General features: G+C 36.8%; 1 protein-coding gene across 18 annotated transcripts in view; it reads right to left on the bottom strand.

The window, feature by feature from the left end:
- CHL1 (cell adhesion molecule L1 like) overlaps nucleotides 1-20,872 on the bottom strand; it is a 212,655-nt gene that overhangs the window by 47,160 nt on the left and 144,623 nt on the right. For 12 of the 18 annotated variants that reach the window (XM_017005566.2, NM_006614.4, XM_017005572.2 and 9 more), the window contains 7 exons: nucleotides 20,176-20,346; nucleotides 19,227-19,274; nucleotides 17,549-17,669; nucleotides 12,715-12,899; nucleotides 7,487-7,618; nucleotides 1,834-1,974; nucleotides 448-559 (listed from right to left, as the gene is read on the bottom strand). In XM_017005566.2, the coding sequence (XP_016861055.1) occupies nucleotides 448-559; nucleotides 1,834-1,974; nucleotides 7,487-7,618; nucleotides 12,715-12,899; nucleotides 17,549-17,669; nucleotides 19,227-19,274; nucleotides 20,176-20,346 (910 nt within the window). The remainder of the gene's footprint in view (nucleotides 1-447; nucleotides 560-1,833; nucleotides 1,975-7,486; nucleotides 7,619-12,714; nucleotides 12,900-17,548; nucleotides 17,670-19,226; nucleotides 19,275-20,175; nucleotides 20,347-20,872) is intronic. The other 6 variants (NM_001253387.2, XM_017005569.2, XM_011533294.2 and 3 more) reach the window with 1 other exon arrangement.

Raw genomic sequence — 20,872 nt, 5'->3', positions numbered from 1 at the left:
GATACCAATTAATTCATTGAAATTAAAATCAAAATGAATGCTGGAAAAGTCTTAAGCACATGCATTTGGAATTAAATTCGAGCTTAGATAATCATTTAGATAATCCCAAAACAACAACAATAGAGTAAAACATGACCTTGTGGTACCTCATAATGAAAAACCAAAACTACCTTTAAAATTGTCTCTGTAATCTCTTCAATTCTCTGCTTTTCTTTATGAACACAAGTGGCTCTCTGTATGTCTCTATGTGAGAAAATCCTAGAAATCTAGCCAATGCTTTCAGTAGAGCTAATTTCCTGGACCGGTAAGTTTGTTACCTTATGTCTCAGAGGTACTGGGTACATGTAACAATATAGACACAATACAGCCTGTCAAATGACGGATGAAGAAACAAGGTCAAATCTACAATTGACATTCTCTTAAGAAAACCATGAGCCACCGGCTTACCAGGACACGACTGCCTCAGGTGAAGCAAAGAACTCGCAATGTAAGAAAGCACTGTACCCAACCACTGTAGCGTAATTTTCTCCATCTTTGGTTTGTATCAATGGACGGACATCTATTTGAAAATAACATAAACGCAGTTTTAAACTTTTGTGGAAGAAAGATATGCAAATTAAATTTTTCTATGTCCTAGTCATACGAATACAAACAGAAAACAGCAGAATATTATGGTGTCTGTTTTGAATTATAGAAGTATCCCAATTCAATACATTTTTGAAAGTACAATTTCTTGTAAATTTGTTTGAGTTCATTGTAGATTCTGGATATTAGCCCTTTGTCAGATGAGTAGGTTGCAAAAATTTTCTCCCATTTTGTAGGTTGCCTGTTCACTCTGATGGTAGTTTCCTTTGCTGTGCAGAAGCTCTTTGGTTTAATTAGATCCCATTTGTCAATTTTGTCTTTTGTTGCCATTGCTTCTGGTGTTTTAGACATGAAGTCCTTGCCCATGCCTATGTCCTGAATGGTAATGCCTAGGTTTTCTTCTAGGGTTTTTATGGTTTTAGGTCTAACGTTTAAGTCTTTAATCCATCTTGAATTGATTTTTGTATAAGGTGTAAGGAAGGGATCCAGTTTCAGCTTTCTACATATGGCTAGCCAGTTTTCCCAGCACCATTTATTAAATAGGGATTCCTTTCCCCATTGCTTGTTTTTCTCAGGTTTGTCAAAGATAAATCATGCTGCTATAAAGACACCTGCACACGTATGTTTTTTGCGGCATTATTCACAATAGCAAAGACTTGGAACCAACCCAAATGTCCATCTATGATAGACTGGATTAAGAAAATGTGGCACATATACACCATGGAATACTATGCAGCCATAAAAAATGATGAGTTCATGTCCTTTGTAGGGACATGGATGAAATTGGAAATCATCATTCTCAGTAAACTATCGCAAGAACAAAAAACCAAACACTGCATATTCTCACTCATAGGTGGGAATTGAACAATGAGATCACATGGACACAGGAAGGGGAACATCACACTCTGGGGACTGTTGTGGGGTGGGGGGAGGGGGGGCGGGATAGCATCGGGAGATATACCTAATGCTAGATGACGAGTTAGTGGGTGCAGCGCACCAGCATGGCACATGTATACATATGTAACTAACCTGCACATTGTGCACATGTACCCTAAAACTTAAAGTATAATAAAAAAAAAAAAGAAAGTACAATTTCAGTGTGAAGTCTAAAACTCAAATGTATGGTGAAAAGTAGTTTGATTTTTCCCTCCATATATTATGTGTCAAGAGTTAATACACTTCTGAACATGACCTTGACCACTTTCCTTAGGAAAATAGCATGTTAAGTCAGCTCCCAGGCACACTCACCCACAACATCAATATTGGCATTGGCAAGGATAGTTCCATGGACATTTGAGGCTTCACACTGGTACACAGCAGTATGATTTGGTTGAAGGTTGGTAAAACTGATTTCCCTGGGGAAGACAACATCACCAGCAAATGGATGATCTGAAAGAGATTAAAGAATGTCAGTTTGATAAGGAACAGGACATAAAATATTTATACACCATTTATTAAATGTGTCACACAGTATTTATATTTTCAAACCAGTTTAGGGTGACTAATAGTTCATTGAAGCCAATTCTTTAGGTTTTCTGAACATCAACTATGGACTTTTCTTTCCAGATCCATGTGAATTTTCAATTATCTTTCAAGTTAATATTTAGCAACAAAATATCTGCTCATCTGGACCTCCCAGAATTTCCATACCTATACTCATGGCACTATTCTGGATTATCCTTTAGGCATTCAAGACCTATGATGAAGTGACACTCTGTTACTCTTCTGAATTTAGACACTGATGCTGCCTGGCACAAGTCACATGGTCAACACATCACGATCTCCCTAGCTACCAGTACTGGCTGCTATTTTCCCCCTTGACGCTTTTGTTCCCGTTTCAGTTCTCTGCCTCTCTACAGTTTTCTGATCTGCACCATTGATTTCATTTGCCTTGCTTCACTATTTAACCACTTCATGTACATTGCTTGTATATTTCATTTTCCCAGGAAGACTAAACTCTTCTTGAGAAAAAGGGCCAGATTTTCTACTTTGGGGCAATAAAACCTTCCCCACTCCTGATCCAAGTATAATTCTGGGAATATCTTTTGGAAATGAGAATACCTAACATGAGGCTGGGCATGGTGGCTCATACCTGTAATCCCAGCACTTTGGGAGGCTGAGGCAGATGGATCACTTGAAGTCAGGAGTTCAAGACCAGCCTAGCCAACACGGCAAAACCCTGTCTCCACTAAAAATACAAAAATCAGCCAGGTGTGGTGGTGCACTCCTGTAACCCCAGCTAGTTGGGAGGCTAGGCAGGAGAATCACTTGAACCCAGGAGGTGGAGGTTACAGTGAGCCAAGATCTCGCCACTGCACTCCAGACTGGGTGATGGAGAGAGACTTTAAAATAAAAGTGAAGAAAAAGAAAAGGAAGAAAAAAAAGAATACCTAACATTTCTGATGCATTTAAGGACCAAAAACTCTACTGGATGTGGCACATGCATGATCTCACTGACACTGCTCAGAACTCGATGGATCAGCATTTACATGGCCATTTTAAAGGTGAGGGGACTGGATTACAGAGAAGTTGGATGACACATCCCACAACATTTGGCCACTTTTCTGACTCTAAAAGCCCTGCCCTTGCTATGATACTATGTATGTGTATATCTTTATCTATATCTATAGTATATATATAGATATAAATATATATTATTATATTATATATAATATCCGTATATAATATATATATATATAACATATATTTTATATATATAAATCCAGTGGGAAGGAAAACATGTTAGCTGGAAATGTCAAGGGAAGGGCACAAATGCAAAAATTTTTAGTTTAAAGGACATTACAAGATTAATAATCAATCGAATTCTACTTTTCTGATTGTCTCTCCATTATACGAGATAATGACTATACTAAGCTTTAGGTTCTAGAAAACATGAATACTACATATTGAAATAAAAGACTTACACATCTTTTTCTGCCTAGGAGTCACAAATGAAGATTTTTTTCACTTGACTGTGAGCTCTCTAAGGGCAGGACCTGAGTGTGAGGTTGTGCAGTGTGTCCCCACTGCCCAAAGAGCAGCTACCAGAGAAAATCCAGCCAGTAAATACTTATTGGAATGACTTAAAATGTTAGGTTGGGTAACCTTTATTCCTGAAAGGCCCCTGTAAGTAGGCAAAACAATAGCCCCTGAAAGATGTACACGTTCTAAGTCCCAGAATGTATGACTTTGTTACTTTACATGGAAAAAAGGGACTTGCAGATGTGATTAAGATTAAGGACATTGAGGTAGGAAAATTATTTCCTACATCTGGATGACCCAAGTGGGCTCAATGTAATCACAAAGCTCCTGAAAATCAGAAGGCCCTCCTTGGCTATGGTCAGAGGGAAATGTGACCATGGAAGGATGGTCAGAGAGATGCAGTGTAGCTGGCTTTCAAAATGGCGGAAGGGAGCCAGGAATGTGGGCAGCCTGGAAAAGCTGGAAAAGGCAAACGAAGGAATGCTCTCCAAGCACTTCCAGGACATGGCACTGCTGACATTTTGATTTTAGCCAAGACTCGTGTTGGACTTTTACAGAAATGTAAAATAGTGTACATGCACTATTTTAAGACACTAAGTTTATGGTAATTTAATTTGTTACAGCAATGTTAGAAAACTAATACAATCCTGTTGAACAATTTATCACTTATTTCTTGCAAATTAGCAAGATGAGTAGCTCTTCCAAGTTTTTAAAGGCTAAACTCTTTAGGAATGCTGCAAAGCACTGAGTCTCTAATCCCACTCTTCACTTCCACACCCCACTCAGGGTCCTAAGACTTTCAGAGTTAACGCCATCCTCCCATTTAGTTCTCCTTATCCCGTCTGATCCATGCATGGCTCTGAATTAACACTGCATTACAAAAGTAAGAAATTAGACTATATAAATGATACTTTATTTAAGTAATTAAACATTGCTTAAATCTGCCTGTTGGCATGGGTATGGAAATTGTTGTGTATTGACAAAGGCTAACAGAAGCTCCCAGGATTCAAGAAGGCCAAGTCTTTATAAAACACACTAGTCCTGACATACTTCAGAAATTCTTTCTCAGTTTTGTCTTTGGTCAACCCTGTGAGAAATCATGCAATAAAATGGACGAAACTTCAGCTCTGGAGTTAATCCTTCCTGGGTTTAGTTCCTGGTTTTAAATGTACCTGGGTTGCATTCTCCAGTAAGTAATGTAACCTCTCTGAGTCTCAGTTGCCAATGGAGAATAATAGAATCTATTTTTCAAGCTGCTACGAGGTTCAGAAATATCATATGCAAAGCATGTGAAAAGGGTTAGTCCGATAATCAATAATAGCAATCATTTTGATTTAATTTTGAAATAACATGGGGAAAGGATATATAACCTCTAAAACTAAAATAAGCTTAAAGAGGTTTCAAATCCTCTAGCCAACACTCTGTCATCAAATATCCCAGCCTATAAAAGTTTACGACCTGTTTGCAGGGCAACAAGTAGAGCCAGGGCCAAAAGCTGTGAACAGAACACCGAGCTTGGATTCCAGCCACCTGGCTTTGGTTTGAAGTCTACCATTATTCAGCTGTGTGGTCTCGCATAAGTTTATTTTCAGCCTTGACCTCCTCATCCATTAACAAACCTATTGGCTCAATTTCAAAATAAATCCAGAAGCCAACCATGACTGCCACCAATCTAGCCCTGAGCGCAGAGCCTCTCAGATGGCCTCCTACCTAGTATCAATCACACAGTCCATTCTCCATTCAAAGGCCAGGAAAATACCTTGTAAAAATGTAAATTAGATTGTGTCACTCTTCTGCTTAAAATTCTCCAAGAGCTGCCTAGTGTATTCTCAAAATCCCAAGGCCCTACTTCGATGTTCATCTTTACCTGAGCTCTGGCCCCTTCCCCTGCTGGCGGATCTGGTGGCCTAGGGCTGCCCCTTGCACTCCCTCAGCTTCAGTCACACTCACCTCTTTTCTCCTCCTCAACACACCTCTCCACTGAGACAGCACTTTCCCTGCTATTTAGGTGGCTGACTTCCTCACTTCCTTCCCATCTCCACTCAAAGGTAAATTACCACAGGGGTCTTACTATTATGATCTTAAGATTGCAACTCTGGGTCCTGAACCTCTTTCAGGCACTGCCCTTACCCAGCTATTTTCTGCTTTATCACACCATAGCACACACTCATGTGTTATTTGTCTAATGGCAGGAGAGCAAGGATTCCATCCATTTTATTCACTGTTGTATATCTCAAGCATGAAGTCCAGTGCCGGGAACATAGAAAGTACCCCATAAATATTATTGAATGAACGAATCAGTTAAATATGAATAATAGCACCTCCTTTATAAAGTTCTTTTGAGGATTCTAAGTAATTTGTGAATGTCTTTTGTAAACAGCCAAATACCATCCAAATATAATATTTTATGATTTTGTGTTCCGGAGAATCTGCGTTCCTTACTTTTGTAACCTGAACATTCATTATAAACAAAAGTTGCTTTCATTTCCCTTCGTCTACCCAAAACCTCATTATTATTTTTCATTTTTTATTCTGTTCCCTAAAGAGATGAAGAGAAAAATCCCAAATCTGAAGATAGTTAATAATGAGGACTAAGGTTTCCTGAGTGTCTGTTATGGGAAAACAATACCAACCAACCATACCTTACGGGGGGCTGTTTTTGTGGCAGTCCCCGTGCTAAGCATTCTCTGCATGATGTTTCCTTTAATCCACAAAACAACCCCGTGAGTCAGTGTTATTTTTATCCCAATTTACTGATGAAGAAATGGGTTTGAAGAGGGTCAGTGATACTCCCCGTCACGCAGCTAGTAAGTGGTAGAGTCAGTATGCAAACCCAGGCAGTCTGGCTCCAGAGTTTATAAACCATCACAGTGCTCTACAGATGAATCACTGCCCTAGGCAGCTGGCCACATTTTTTTTCATTCAAGCACAACCAACCGCCACTATCTCCATTTTGCAGTTTAAAAAACGTAAGCTTGGGGAGATTCAGAAAACACCTCAAGATGAAACAGCTGGCAAGGTGCACATCCTAGACGGGACCCGAGGTCTGTTATCCACCAAGTGGCTCACCCTTGACTTGTGCAGGCCCCAGAGCAAAAGGACAAATGGAAGCCACTATCGTACCTGCTCTTAATTAAGCAATTGACACGTAAAAATATGTTCTATCCTTCTTCCTGAACAAGGACATCCAAAATAATCTGAGCTCTAGGTTCCAGTGGAAGATTTGGGGACTCCTTGGAGCTCTATGCTGAGCATGGTGAAATGGGGAGAGTTGGCCCTCAGTGCTGGGCCATTCCTGTCTTTCCCCGCCCAGCCCATTTGGAGTGGGCTCAGGGTGGACCGGGCATGGGGATTTTCAGGTCTTTGTGCTTGAGGTTGGTAGCAAATAGGCAGTAATGGGACCATGTTCAGACTTGGGATGCCTCCTTTTCCCTGAGGATGCTTTCAAATCATGGAGACAAGCGGGACCAGAGGGTGATCAGAGCAAGTCCCTTAAAAGGGCAGAGCCCAGGACAGGTGTTGCTGTTGCCTGAGCCTAAAGGAGGTCCTGACTTTGAACCTGTGCCCTCAGCTGCTAGGCTACTGTTCTGTTTCTTCTCAGGGACAGGAACAATAATTGGCTTTTTTCCTTGGATGCATCCTCTTTCTCATTCAATTTTCTTTTTAAAAATTAAAAATCTTTATTCTTATATATAATTTATAAGAGGGCACAGGCAGTATAAATATTATTTATGGCTCTTCCATGAATATCAAGTCTTAACAACCAAATTGCTTAGAAATAAACAATCTCTGATTTGCTGGTTGTATCTGTCCTGCTAATCCAACCACATACCAACTTCATTTTACACACGTCTGACCATCATTAATCCCGTCAAACCAGGGCCTTCAGCATTGCATTGCAATTGGTTTTTAAACTTACTGTCAACTGGGGAGCCATTGACTCTCCACTTGATTGTGGGTTGAGGTTCTCCTTCAGCCTCACATAACAAGATGCCATTGCTTCCGGTGCTATACACAGCACTCTGAGGCTTCTTTGTCCAGCGAGGAGGCTCTGGATGTAAAGTGAAGAGCTCATGAGAGATGTTATCTATGTCAAAAAGTCCAAAAATGTTAAGGCCTGTATTTCTACTTTGCACCAGCAGAGGGCAGACACCACAAAGGGTTTCATAGTAGCTCTTTTTGGTAAACTTGCTCTGCAAAGCAAGGTGGGAGCTGCTTTTGTGTTGTATGGTGTGTGTGTGTGTGTGTGTGTGTGTGCTTGTGTTTAATTTGGACTCAGCATGTATCATACATCAACATACTGAAAATAGTTATATACAACCATTTTATTTAGCTATACAAGTAGCTACCCCACTAGGAAAAAATGAGGGAAGAATAAGCAGATGGTGAGTTTATTTAGAGCTCACTACAGGTTATTTTCAAGCTGCAGCATGGCATCTAAAAAGGTGGATACACAAGAATTATATTGTAAGAATTTTAAAAATAAAACTAATTAAAATATTTAATGCTTATTTTGAATATTTCTTAGTGATCTTATAGCATTTATACATATAATCTACTTGAAAAATATTATTTCCTAGAGTTTTTTTGTAAGAGGGGAGAGAGAGAAGCCCAAAAGCAGTGTTTAGCTTTCTGCAGTCAAAACAATGCAGCAAAATATACCTTAAAATTACCTGTATCTTTCTATGCCCTAATGCTCCAGTGTAACAATACTACAAAGTATGTCAGAAACAGATGACACATTTTACTGGATTTCCATGTTTTTATAACTCTATGTTTTATAACTTCATGAATATTGCTATGTCAGGGGTAACTAAAAGGTTTAGATTAAAGTGTTGATGGTTTGGATAATTTGATTTCAGAGAAAATTGCACAAAACCTGCAGGTAGCAACTCCCATCAAGTGTAGTTTGGTTATTTCCCCAAAGATATTTTAGATTTCCATTTTTAGCTAAAAACGAAAGTCTTCAAAGATATATGTATGTATACAATGAAAAAATATCATTAAAATTTTTCTAAGTAAAGGAAGAAAAAGAGGATTATGTAAAAAGGAAAGAACTGTAAGTTCATCAGAGGAAACAAAAGTACACAACTAGCCTTGGCAAGTTCAAGTTCAAGTCCAAGTGAGATAAGTGCCTTTGTAATTACTCCACAGGGTGTGGACTTAATTGTTAAATTCCAAGTTAAATATCTGTATTCATAAGCTGTACTACCTGTAAATGTTTAGTCACTTGGTTTAAAATACACTAGTCCAAATTATAAACTGCGATCATTTTCTGAGGTGAAGGTTTATTTTTGTCTATTTTGCATTTTTTTAATGATATCCTTACTTTTTTTCTGGTTATTTTAATACAACCAATATAAAACTAAATATCTGTAAGTTAGAGAAAAATATTCCATGAACATGAACATTATGGCATATCATATTTATAATAGAAAATTACAACTATTGCTTTCAACGTATGCAGAAATAAAGAAAATCAAGCAATAATGATATTTCTGTAAATCTTCTTGAATAATTACTATTGCCATTAGGATATTTACTATTAGGACTATTAGTAATATTAGTATTACTGAAAGAGGTTCCAAATTATCACGTCATCCAATCCTTTCATCTTACAGACAGAGGGCTGAGCTTTGGAGAAGTTGCCTAACTTGCCCAGGCCCACCAGCAAAGGAAGCTCCAGTTCCTGTTCTCGCCATTCCACAGATAAATACACAGCAACTATGGATGAGCAGCATTTAGACTCTGAAGTCATGTGGTTTTTGTTTCTAATTTAGTGTTATCTTATGAATTTGTATCAAAGACAGGAAAGAAGGCCAGCCCAATTTATGCTTCCAAATCCAAGCTCCCCCAATATTTATCAACTGACTCAAGAAGTTCTGAGCATTCACTAGGCTTCCTCACTATACTTTACCTTAACCCTTCTTTATAAGCTTTCTTTATAATTGCTTGAAAATTTACTTTAATGCTTTTCATCCATTTCTCCTATAGAAGTAAGCTGGTCCTGAATCATGTAATATTGGGAGGGACTTGAGTCAAGCTTGTTCTGCTCAGAAACAGCTGCTTCTTGAGCCTTAAAACCAAAAATTCTGAGGAAAAATACCATCCTCATAGAAACCCATTCTTTTATCTATTATCCTAAGACATATGGTAACAGATGAAAATTGCTTATGTTGAAACTTTATGCATTTTCTCATAATTGTAAATACAAAAATAAGATGATAAATATTTCTCATGTTGCTGGAAACAGATGCAAATGTCTGAACATTGGGACTATATATTAAGCAAGCTAAATAGAGATGTTTATCACTAGGAAAAAAACAAAATAAAACAAACTTGGTACCTATAGAACATACAACACTGGTTATTTTTAGTAAAACTGTTTCTTCACAGGTTCTTATTAAAATCTATATTTTAATAAATCAAAACTTGTTAGGTTCAACAAAAATTGGATTTAATCGCAACATTTTAGAAATAGGTTTGTTATTTGAAAACAAGGATTTCTCAAGTATATTAATGACTGAGTTGCATTTGATTTTATGACAACCTTTGAAAATGCAAAAACATTTTGGATTATACTATGGCTCTATAATTACATATAAATGCTTTCCTATTTCACTTACTAAAATTCAAAGGCTTTAAATAATTCAAAAGTTGACAACATAAAAATTATTGGTGGGAGCTTATTTTTAAATAGTCTATTGAAATGTGATTGTGATTATATTTTGATTTCTGGATGTAGACTGTTTTAGATGTCACTATAATATATCTCTTTTTATTGAATGTGTAATTAATCATATCTTAGATATTTAGAATATACAGTTGTACCTAGTCAAGACATCCTGGCTGCTTTTGCTCATACATATTATAGGATTTGAAGTGCAGTCTGATTTTATATTTAGGATGTTGCAACCTAAATTACAAGCTCATAGTATTTGATTATATTATGTTTGGTAATAGGAAAGACATTGCACATACAGAAAGAATCCAATCGAATCCATGATTTTACTTAAGCACAATGGGTGTTTTCAGAATGGAGTAGATTTTCAAAATATACAATAGCATTGCTATTTTCTCACATGGCAAATCCTTATTATTTAATGTGGGCTTCTAAAAAAGAGACAAAAAAGGAAAAGGAGAGGGTGCAGGAAGGCAGAAAAAATTGAATAAACACGAGCTCATCCATCCAGATGATTAACAAAGTTTTTATTTATTACCTCCACACTTTAGAAAAAAAAGTAAAGACTTCTTAAGCTCAATTTGTTTTTCATGTGTATAGGTAAAGAGAAACTTCAAAAACATACAACTGAAGGTACATTTAATAGTTTCTTACTAAAGAGAGAGGATTAAAAGTTCTTCATAAAAACATCATTTACATCTCAATAGTGCTAATAGCTGTTTTATGAGTAGTGAGAACAATTTGTTCAGGAAATCTATATTCCTTTGGAGTCCTATAGTCAACATTTTAAATTGCATAATTAATGTTACATCTTTGATTTCGTTTTTTGCAACCCTTGCAATTCTTTTGAAAGGTTTGGTTTTATAGTCAAGAAAACTGTGGCCAGATTGTTAAAATATTCAGCTACCGTAGCTATGTTCCAGCCATCTGGAAGTGTTTCTAATAGTCAGCAACTTGGAGGAGAATCTAACAATTAGATATGTCTGGTTCGTGGGTGTGTGTGTGCCAGGGAGGGGAGGAGGGGGTTACAGAAAAATACCCCTGTTGCACGATGTAGCCAAATTATATAGAAACATCAAATGATGACTAAAAATATACATAACATAAATCTTTCAAACTCTTCTTCCTTGAATTTCTTTGTGAATAATTTAATGTCAAAGGAATATATCACTGTTTGGCAGATGTTGACGTTAATGCATATCTATATAAGTTTTGCTTTTGTCAAGTCAAAGAAAATAAAATTCTCAACTTCGGTTTTCTATTCTTCCTACCTTAAATAATAATATGCATTATGGAGAAGGCTTGGAAATGCAGTGTTATTCCAAACAGGGGTTTGCCTAAATCAACTGTGTTAACATTTACTTGGGAGGAGAATTTGTGTCTGAGTCCTTTTTTTTTTCCATTAATTTAAACAACAGGCCATTACTTAGGTGTTCCTTGTGGAAACTAAAGTTTTAAGAGGTGAACTTTACTGGAATATTAATGGGTGCCTAGAGCACTAGTTCACTAAATTGTAGTCTAAAAAGAATAATTCCTTTCAGTAGCTAAGCTTACACTGCACTAAATAAGTACAAATGCAGTCATCATTCCATTAATTTGATCAATACGGTCAACTACATTGTAGATAGAAAGCCTCAGTGTGATTGGATCCACAGAAAATAGTCTGTGTCAATCACATTCAGAGGACTAGACAAACTTCACATCAGCCAGTCACAGCACTAATAACTACATTCCACATTTAAATGGTATCATCTTTGCCTACTTATTCCTATAAATGTAACTAATACCAATAAAACCTTGATTGATCAAAATCTCTGAATTTACAGAGAGAAGATGACTTGAATATAATGTTTTTGCACTTTTTGAGAGAATTAATATTATAGCATACAGTCTATTCTTTTTTGCCTGTAAGTAACATACTGAATTTATCATCTGAACCCAAGATATGGATTACAAAAGTGTTATATGCAGGAAAGAGCTGACACAACAATTTGCCTGCCTCTTTCACTTCTTTGGTGAAGAGCCTGAGGTACGGAGAGTGAAATAAATGGCAAAGGGCACAGCAAGTTAAATCCAAGCTTTCTTCCAGGCTCATTTTAATACTTCCTTTCATCATAATCCTTACTGCTGCTTTTATGATTTAATATTATGAAATGTATATGTGTATTACAATAAAAATAATTTAGGAGACTAGCTTTAATGACTATTTGAATAAATCATGTAAACTGTCTGTGTTTAATCCCTAACATGAGATCTTTTCTTGTCATTTGTCCCTTCTATGTCATTTTGGGGCGTAAATGACAAACCTGCTTAGTTGAAGTGTAATATAATTCAATGCCCGCACTACAATTAAAAGTTGAAACTGCTGACCTGTTTTAACATGTATGATTTAGAAGCAAGGCCTACTACATGTATACAGTTACTTTTTTGAAAAGCAGAGAAATAGACCAACATGGGAAAGGTACCTTCTACTATAACGTGAAAATCGTGAGTGGCTGTTCCCAAGAAATTGCTGGCTGTGCAGCGATAATTTCCTTTGTCCTGGTAGGAGACATTCTCTATCTTCAAAGTCTTGCCATAATTTTCTTTTGTTTCTCTCCCCTTTGGTAAGTCACCACCAATTTTGTTCCAATCAACCTGTGGAGTTGGCCTGCAAAAAATAGTTAAATAAATAAACATTTTTTTAAAAGCGGAAAGTAAAATACAAAGAAAACCTTAGGACACATCCTTTATCAGGGTGCTTTTACACATGTGCTCATATTCCACTGAATCACGTCATCCTTACCAGTGGACAGACACACCCACCACCAACAATAGTGAACACTGGTGTTGAAGCAAGTCTCTTTCACTGAAAGTTCCTCCAGTGGTCTGTCTCCTTGGAAGTCTTCTCTCTCCTCTATTACAAGGGCTAACTACATGTAAGTGCTGACTAGGTGTGGCTGAGCGAAGGAAAAATAGCTGGAGCTCATTGAAATAATATTACCAAGATATTTTCCAAGTGTGAAAATCTCCCAGTGGGTGGTTTGGGGCAGCCAGTGATAACAGCCCTATTCCCTGTTTGTGTAAAACACAGTAAAGTGGGACTTAACAGTCAGCAGAGAGAAGTTTCCCTTTTAATCCTATGATGCTGATCATGGAGAATGGGGCTCCTGCGTGAAAGCTGGACATGTCGATTAGACCCATGAACAGCCTATTCCAGGGCAAGCTGGAATCTGCAGCACAGATACTGCCTCCTGGATCACGTTCTCGCCCTTGTCGGGAAGCAGAGGAAAGGAGGAATGAACCAAATCTTCCCTTGCTTAGCGCTTTCAAAAGATTAGCTCACCCAGTCAAAACAAACAGGAAAGTAAAGACAAAACAAAACCAGCATGATAACTTGTTACACACCAGCATGATAACTTTCCCCACCTTAGTAAGGAGGAAAAAAGGACTGGGGAGTCAAGGCAGCTACATTAAGAAAAACCCCTCCTCATGAAAAGCAGACAAGTGCAGAAGTCATACCTTCTGTGACTCATTTGATTTAAAAATTATGTGGAAAGCATAAAGGGTTGGTTCTAAATGAAGGATGACTGTCTCTTTCTCTTCCCCAGTCAGGTTCTATAAGTGAGTAGGAGAAACAACTTTGCTAATTTTATTGATGCAACACTTTTCCTCTCCATATTTCTTCTTGTTATTAGTAGCTGTAGGTTATTTGGTGAGTTCTAAAGATGGGCATATTATTGTGATCATTTAACAGTAAGGAGTCTGAAGCTCCAATAAATTAATTTCTTAAGGTCACTGGAGCAATAAATGATATACCCCAACTTATATTTGTCTACTCTAAACTTGTTCCTTTTTTATCAGTGTGTTCTATTATTTTGTGCTTTTCAACCTATGTCCTTCCTAACTCTATAGTCTTAGAATATATGCTTCCTGTCAAATTGCCCATTAGTTACTATGTAATAATTGAGCAATTCCTTGAAATCGTGTGTGTCAATATTCTCAAATTATTTGTATTGATAGTTTGTGGTTAAAATAATTCAGTTATTTATGCAAAAAAAATTGGAGGTAAAGATGAAGGCTCTTTAATCTCTATATATCTACTCTTTTCCTTCTTCCTTCAAGCCTCAAACACTAACGTGCTGTGCAGCCTGGAATAATAATCTTATATTTTACCAGGCTAAGAGCACATGGCACGCTTGTGTAGGAAATGGTAATGATGCCTGGGCAGACAGCTGTGAGAGCATATTAGCTGCTGGCTTTCTGAGCACACCACCTAAGAGGATGCATAGCTCAAGTCTCCTAACTGCTGGCTTTTCACTCCATCTGTCAAAATGACAATTTGCCAAGTTATAGGCTGCTCTGGAACTCACTTCCCCTAAAACAGGATTTTTTCAAGAGTCCATCCTTTATTAGAGCAAGTAACTCACTTTCAGCAAGATCTCCCGGACTCCCTAGTCTTTGGGTCTTTGAAAACTAGTCTAATTTTCTAATACCATTTACTTGAAAGAATAAAGTAAAATAATGATCTAAAGTATTATGTGAAAATGAGATATAATTTAATCTCAGGATAGGTCTATACCATGGCAAAAATTTTCAGCTCTATTCTTGCCAATTTTTTTATACCTCCTGCCTTTTTTTAAATTTAAATAACATTTACTAACAGCATTTAAGCAATGTGTTTTGAGGGAAAATATATTGCTTAATGCCTTTTTGCACACAAAATACACTACCTCATAATCTCAATTTTTTTCAGGTCCTTGTCTGGCCAACTTTTATTTGCATATTTCTCTATTTATAAAGTAGTATCTTGTGAAAGAATTATACCTACTTTAAACCCACGAATTTACAAAACAGAAAAAAAAACTATTTGAGCAGTGCACATGAGTCCATCTATGGCCATTTTATAAGTTTTCCCTCAAAACACATTTGTTCAGATACTGTTGGTAAATATCCCTTAAATCTAAAACAAAAGGAAATGAAAAACATTTGCAAGAATATAGCTGGAAATTCTTGCCAAGATATAGACCTATCTTGAGATAAATTATATCTCATGTTCACCTGACACTTATAGATAATCATTTTACTTTATTCTTTCAAGTAAAATGTATTAGACAATTAGACTAGTTTTCAAAGACCCAAATATAGTGCTTGACACAAAATAATAGTACAATACTTTAATTATAATTATTTTTGTTACTATAGGAGGTTAATGGCTTGAAAACTTCTTAGAAAGAGTTTTTTAAAGGACCCAAAAAACTTTTTAAAAATGTATCATCTTCTGAGAGACGACCCAGATCAGACAGGATTACCCAACACAAAATCAGTATGAGTAAGAAGAAACTACTTCAGGTGAAAAGTCTTAGGACAGCGCATCAAGAATTTTCATGTCCTCACAACAACATATATTTTCATCCACTCTGTTTTTATATATTCCTTCATGACTCTTCATTTTCTAAAAAGCACATGAGAGCATTTCATTATTTTGAAGACATTCTGCGCAGTTGCTAGTCAATCCAAGAGGTCAGTGAAGGCATTTGTGGGAAATAAGAAAAAAGAATTACAGAAAGGATCACCCTGCCCAACTCAATACAGTGATGAACTCTGCAAGAATGTAATTTCTACCACTGTAAACATGTACAAATACAACCAGTAGAGCAGGTTGTTGCCATCATGATTCAAACTCAATATGAGACTTTCCTCTTCTAAAATAATACACAGACCAAACATTCCAAACAGAGTCTGTGTCATAGTACTTCTAACTAATTTATGTAAATACACATTGGGAGTTGAAGACAGACAAGCAACTTTGATATTTTTGGTGGTTGGAAAGAGAAACTTACAAAGCTTAGGGGCTGTAAAACCAATAAAATCTGCTCCATTTCTAAACCAGTCGTTCAGAATGTACTCTAAATTATGAATGAATATGATTTTTTGAATTTCAAATCCTAGTCCACTAACTAGAGTCCCCAAAGCCCTTAGCTTACGAACAGATTATATTTCAAATGAGTAATCCCAGGTGCTAGGAAGCTGGAATGCATTTTCCCAAGGTATCCTCAATGGTAGGGAAGGACCGTAAGTTCGGAAGGATAGTGGTAAAAATAGGAGACCCTGTATGATTAAATATTAAATAAGATGGTCCCTGTTTACATGTACTTAACAGTAGTTAATAAATGGAACAATTTTAAGAGGTGACCAAGTGAGGTCCTTTAGGGTTTTCTTGGAGGATTTAAAAAGGTGCATTGCGGGCTGGGCCCGGTGGCTCATGCCTATAATCCCAGCATTTTGGGAGGCCAACTCAGGTGGATCACAGGGTCCGGAGATCGAGACCTTCCTGGCTAACATGTTGAAACCCTGTCTCTACTAAAAATACAAAAAACTGGCCAGGTGTGGTGGCACACACCTGTAGCTTCAGCTACTCAGGAGGCTGAGGCAGGAGAATCGCTTGAACCCAGGAGGCAGAGGTTGCAGTGAGCTGAGATCGCGCCTCTGCACTCCAGCATGGGTGACAGAGTGAGACCCTGTCTCAAAAAAATAAATAAATGAATAAATGAATAAATAATTAAATAAATAAATAAATAAATAAATGGATTGCTTTTTCAGGTGTAAAGAAAGTTCACTTAATTAGATTTTGATGTAAAACTCTCTTAAATTACATGGTCTGGACCTCCATGTGTGCAAAGGGCAGCAGAGTAAAAATAGATATAAATAGGGCTCCTTGGAACCTGCAAAGCAGCAGATTTAGTAAGTAACATAGCAAACAGGAGTGGGGCAAGTAGTATAGCATAGAGAGAAAACTCAGCACCAAAAGTGAGGGACTGACTACCAACAACCTCAGGCTTCTTAAACTTAACTAAGGAGAATGTTATCATCATCCCCTCCATCCACAATATCATAAATTGACAGAGAGATCTAATTTTATGAGCCTGTTACTGCCTGAAGTCTGTAGAGTGAAGTACAAATTACTTCCTCCAGAGATATAATGACAGAATTTATGTTTATTATTTATTTTATTTTATTAATTTTAATTTCATTTTATTTTAGATGAGGTCTTTCTCTGTCATCCAGGTTTTAGTGCAATGGCATTATCATAGCTCACTGCAGCCTCCAACTCCTGGGCTCAAGCAATCTTCCTGCTTCAGCCTCTTAAGTACCTGGAATAACAGTCCTGAGCAGAATATCTGCAGTGCCCGGCAGAATTTAATTTTTTTAAGGAAATAATTTTAAAATATCTTTGCAAGCACAGTCTTAATGTGCTTGATGTCTTATTCTTTACAGAACTGGATGGACAAAGTCATGAGTGAGAGTCAGGTTACTCACAAGCCTTCAGCAAAACACTCAAGCAGCAAGATTTCCCCTTTGAGGATGGTAATTGAAGACTCACTGCCACTCTCAGTGGGAGGCAACAGCAGTTTGGGTTTTCTTTGCTTGATGGAATTTGCTACAAAATAGAAAAGAAAAGTCAGAATTTTTTCAAATTAATATACATAAAATTCTGTGACACCACATCTTTCTTAAAACAAAAAATCCGACACACGAGTGTGTGTGTGTGTGTGTGTGTGTTCTATACACATTTCACATATTTCCATTTAAATAGACTCCTCTTCTCTCTTACCATGAAGCATGGGTTGTCCCTCATATGTTTTTACTGAGCGTAGCACTGCAAAATTTTATAAATATTATTATTTATACCATATCTGCTAACTCAGAAGGTCAAACAGAAGTCCTTAATTGAAAATCTATGATTTTATATTCTATACTTCAATCATGTCATGTGCAATGACTTTATGTTTATGTTTTTATTTAATTTAAATTGCCTAAGAATTTAACGAGGTTTCTGCTAAAAACAGCTTCCTCACTCCTGCACTCAGAAATTCTCACTGAGGAAGGCTGTGGTAGACACTAGGCATCTATGAATTTATCAAGCTCTTTCGGCAACTCTACCTGTAGTCTCAGCTCCTTAAAGAAAAACACAGTTTTAGGAAATGACTAGTAAGCATCCTCACTACCTGCATATTGAAGTGTCCCATTTCTTATTTTCTTAAGAATATTTTTCAAATACAATGGCAAATTAGAAGACTTCCATCTTCAAAGGGACTTTAGCAGTAGACAGTCTTCTATACTTCGTGTTTATTTTTTGAAAAATAATTGTTGAATATGTACTATGTGCAATGATTTTTCATTGAGTGCTGTGAAAATATAGCACTATATATGTGTGAGTTATTAATCTCAAAGGAAATGATGTTGGGGATGAATCAGTCCACCTTAAAACTGACGGTTCTTCAAAAGGAGCTTACATCCTCCTCCACTGAACTTGCAAGTATGCAAGGTATCTAAGTTATCACTGGTCCACATTTTATAGAGAATATTTGCTGCAATTATGTAACTGACTCTTCTCATTATAGAGAACTAGCCTGCTATACAACTCAGATTTACTCAGGCATTTTCCATAGAACACAAGTTCTGGTAGACGTTCTATGGGGGAAAGAATTAAATAAAAAGATCACGCAGACACATGAACTTGAAAAATGCTACAAACTGTTTTTTTCTCAGAAAGCCACAATGTACAGTTGCATGTCAAATATTTCAAAAAGCCTTGCAAGAAAAAAATCCACTTAACTTTCTTAAACGCAGTGTTTTCTCTACGTCTTTTGACACTTAACCATTTCTTTTCTTTCTGCAAAAGTATCAACCTTATATACCATAAGAGACGTTTTGGGAGACCCAAAATAATTACTCCATTAAATATCTCTATCTGTCTATTCAATGCATTATATATAAGTATTTCATTATATTTATACAGTTATATATTTATAAAAATCACTCCCTTTGCATATATTTAAGAGGGCATGGGGGGCAATAGAACCCTCTAAGTTCAGATGTTTTTCATAATAACAGTATTGTAATAAACTTAAGAGGATATTAAAGAAAAAATTCAAAATCTGAGATGACAATGAGCTATACACAAATGCCAACACTCCACATGGGTTCAACTTACCCTTGGAACCAATTTCTGTGGATGAACTTGAGTCATTAGCATGCTTTACTGAAATAAAAAAACGGAAGGAAAAAACACAAACATAATGGTGGATGCTGATATCAATAAAGAATGAAAAGTCATATTTTTGTCTTAGAAAAATTACAAAATGATGTAGAACCATGCTTCACTAGAACATTGCCTTTGGGAATATAGTTTTACATAGAAAATAATTATAGTGAGTTTAATCTTGAATCCAGGTGGAGAAGATTCAAGTTATAGCTCCACTGAAGAGAACTGAGGCTACTAGAAGAATGTTATAGTGAAGCCCTGGCATGGCATATCTACACATAAAAATGAAAAAATCATGGACCAAATTAAACAATGAAATGGTAATGCCAACTTTCAACTATACCAGGGCCAATTATTCGCTCAGCAAACTGTTGGGGATTATTTCTTCCCTTTGAATCTTACGGTTCTTCCTCCCTCTAATTACTCTTCCCATTTGGGAACCCAGGCTGGCCTCCACAGAATCAAGTCGGGAAAGGGTGATTCAAGTAAGTTTGCCAGTTTGGTGATACAAATTTCCATCTTTTTGCCTCTGTTGTTTTCTCCCCCATTTTCAGTCTGCCAGTTTATCCAAGATCACAGTGAATCGATGCCCAAGATTTGCTTAGAAAACCCTGGAATTTCATTGTATATTTCATCCACTGAAAATGACAAGATCCTGCAGATGTCAGATGAAATACATTTGTCCTGTGAATTGAGATGTGATTTCCTGGCTGTGAGAGACAGAGCTACCGTGAATCTGCAGCTGCAGATGTCTATTTCATCTGGAAGAAGTCTCCAGAGTTGAACTGCACAATGGTGCAAAATATCAACCCAGCTTTAAATGGCTTCAGCCAGAAGGAAATTACAGACACATTTGCATTCAGCATACATGATGAAACGATAAATTATGTGGACTTACAACTGTTAACTGTTAGTTTCATTGGCATTTTCTGTACAATAGTCCTTAATCTTGGAAATGCAGCAAAGCAACAGTAGTCATTGCGACTGTCCTTTTCTTCCACGTTTGCGAAGTATAGATCTCCCTTTTGGCTCATGTATACTCTTTCATCTTGTTCGATGTGTTCTAATTCTGAAAAGAGATATCTTGCCATTGAAAAGGGCAATTGTCCCTTACTGTGCTTCATCTTCCTTTTTCATTTTCTTTTACATTATTATTTCATTTGGTTTTTCCTGTTTGCTCTTTAATTCCTCTCAAGTCTGGTCTTACTACAGGAACAATGAGCAAATAGGAAAACAAAACAAAACAAAAACAGCAGCAAAACCCTTGGGAGGATACTTTTTACCATTAACCAAAGAAGTCCACCAGTAGACAAACAGTGGTAAACTCTGTTTACCATCTTTGTCTCCACCTCTGCCCTATGAATCTGAATTGGCTGAACTGAAAACTGATCAATGCAGACAATGACCTAATTAACACTTGTATTTTCTGAGAATCACGTTTATTTAAAACATGATTTAAAAAGAAAAAACAAAAAGCTCTCCAAAAGTTTTATCCGTGATATTAATCTCCCTGTTCTGGTTGCAGCCTGGAAGGTTCTAGGGGAACTGATGTCTGGAACAATTGGCTGTACCTAAGAGTAGCTTCATTTGCTTTC

Source organism: Homo sapiens, chromosome 3 (genome assembly GCF_000001405.40).
Source record: "Homo sapiens chromosome 3, GRCh38.p14 Primary Assembly".
Taxonomy (NCBI): Eukaryota; Metazoa; Chordata; class Mammalia; order Primates; family Hominidae; genus Homo; species Homo sapiens.
Note: the sequence above shows the minus strand (reverse complement) of the source record. Positions and strands in the feature narration are given on the sequence as shown.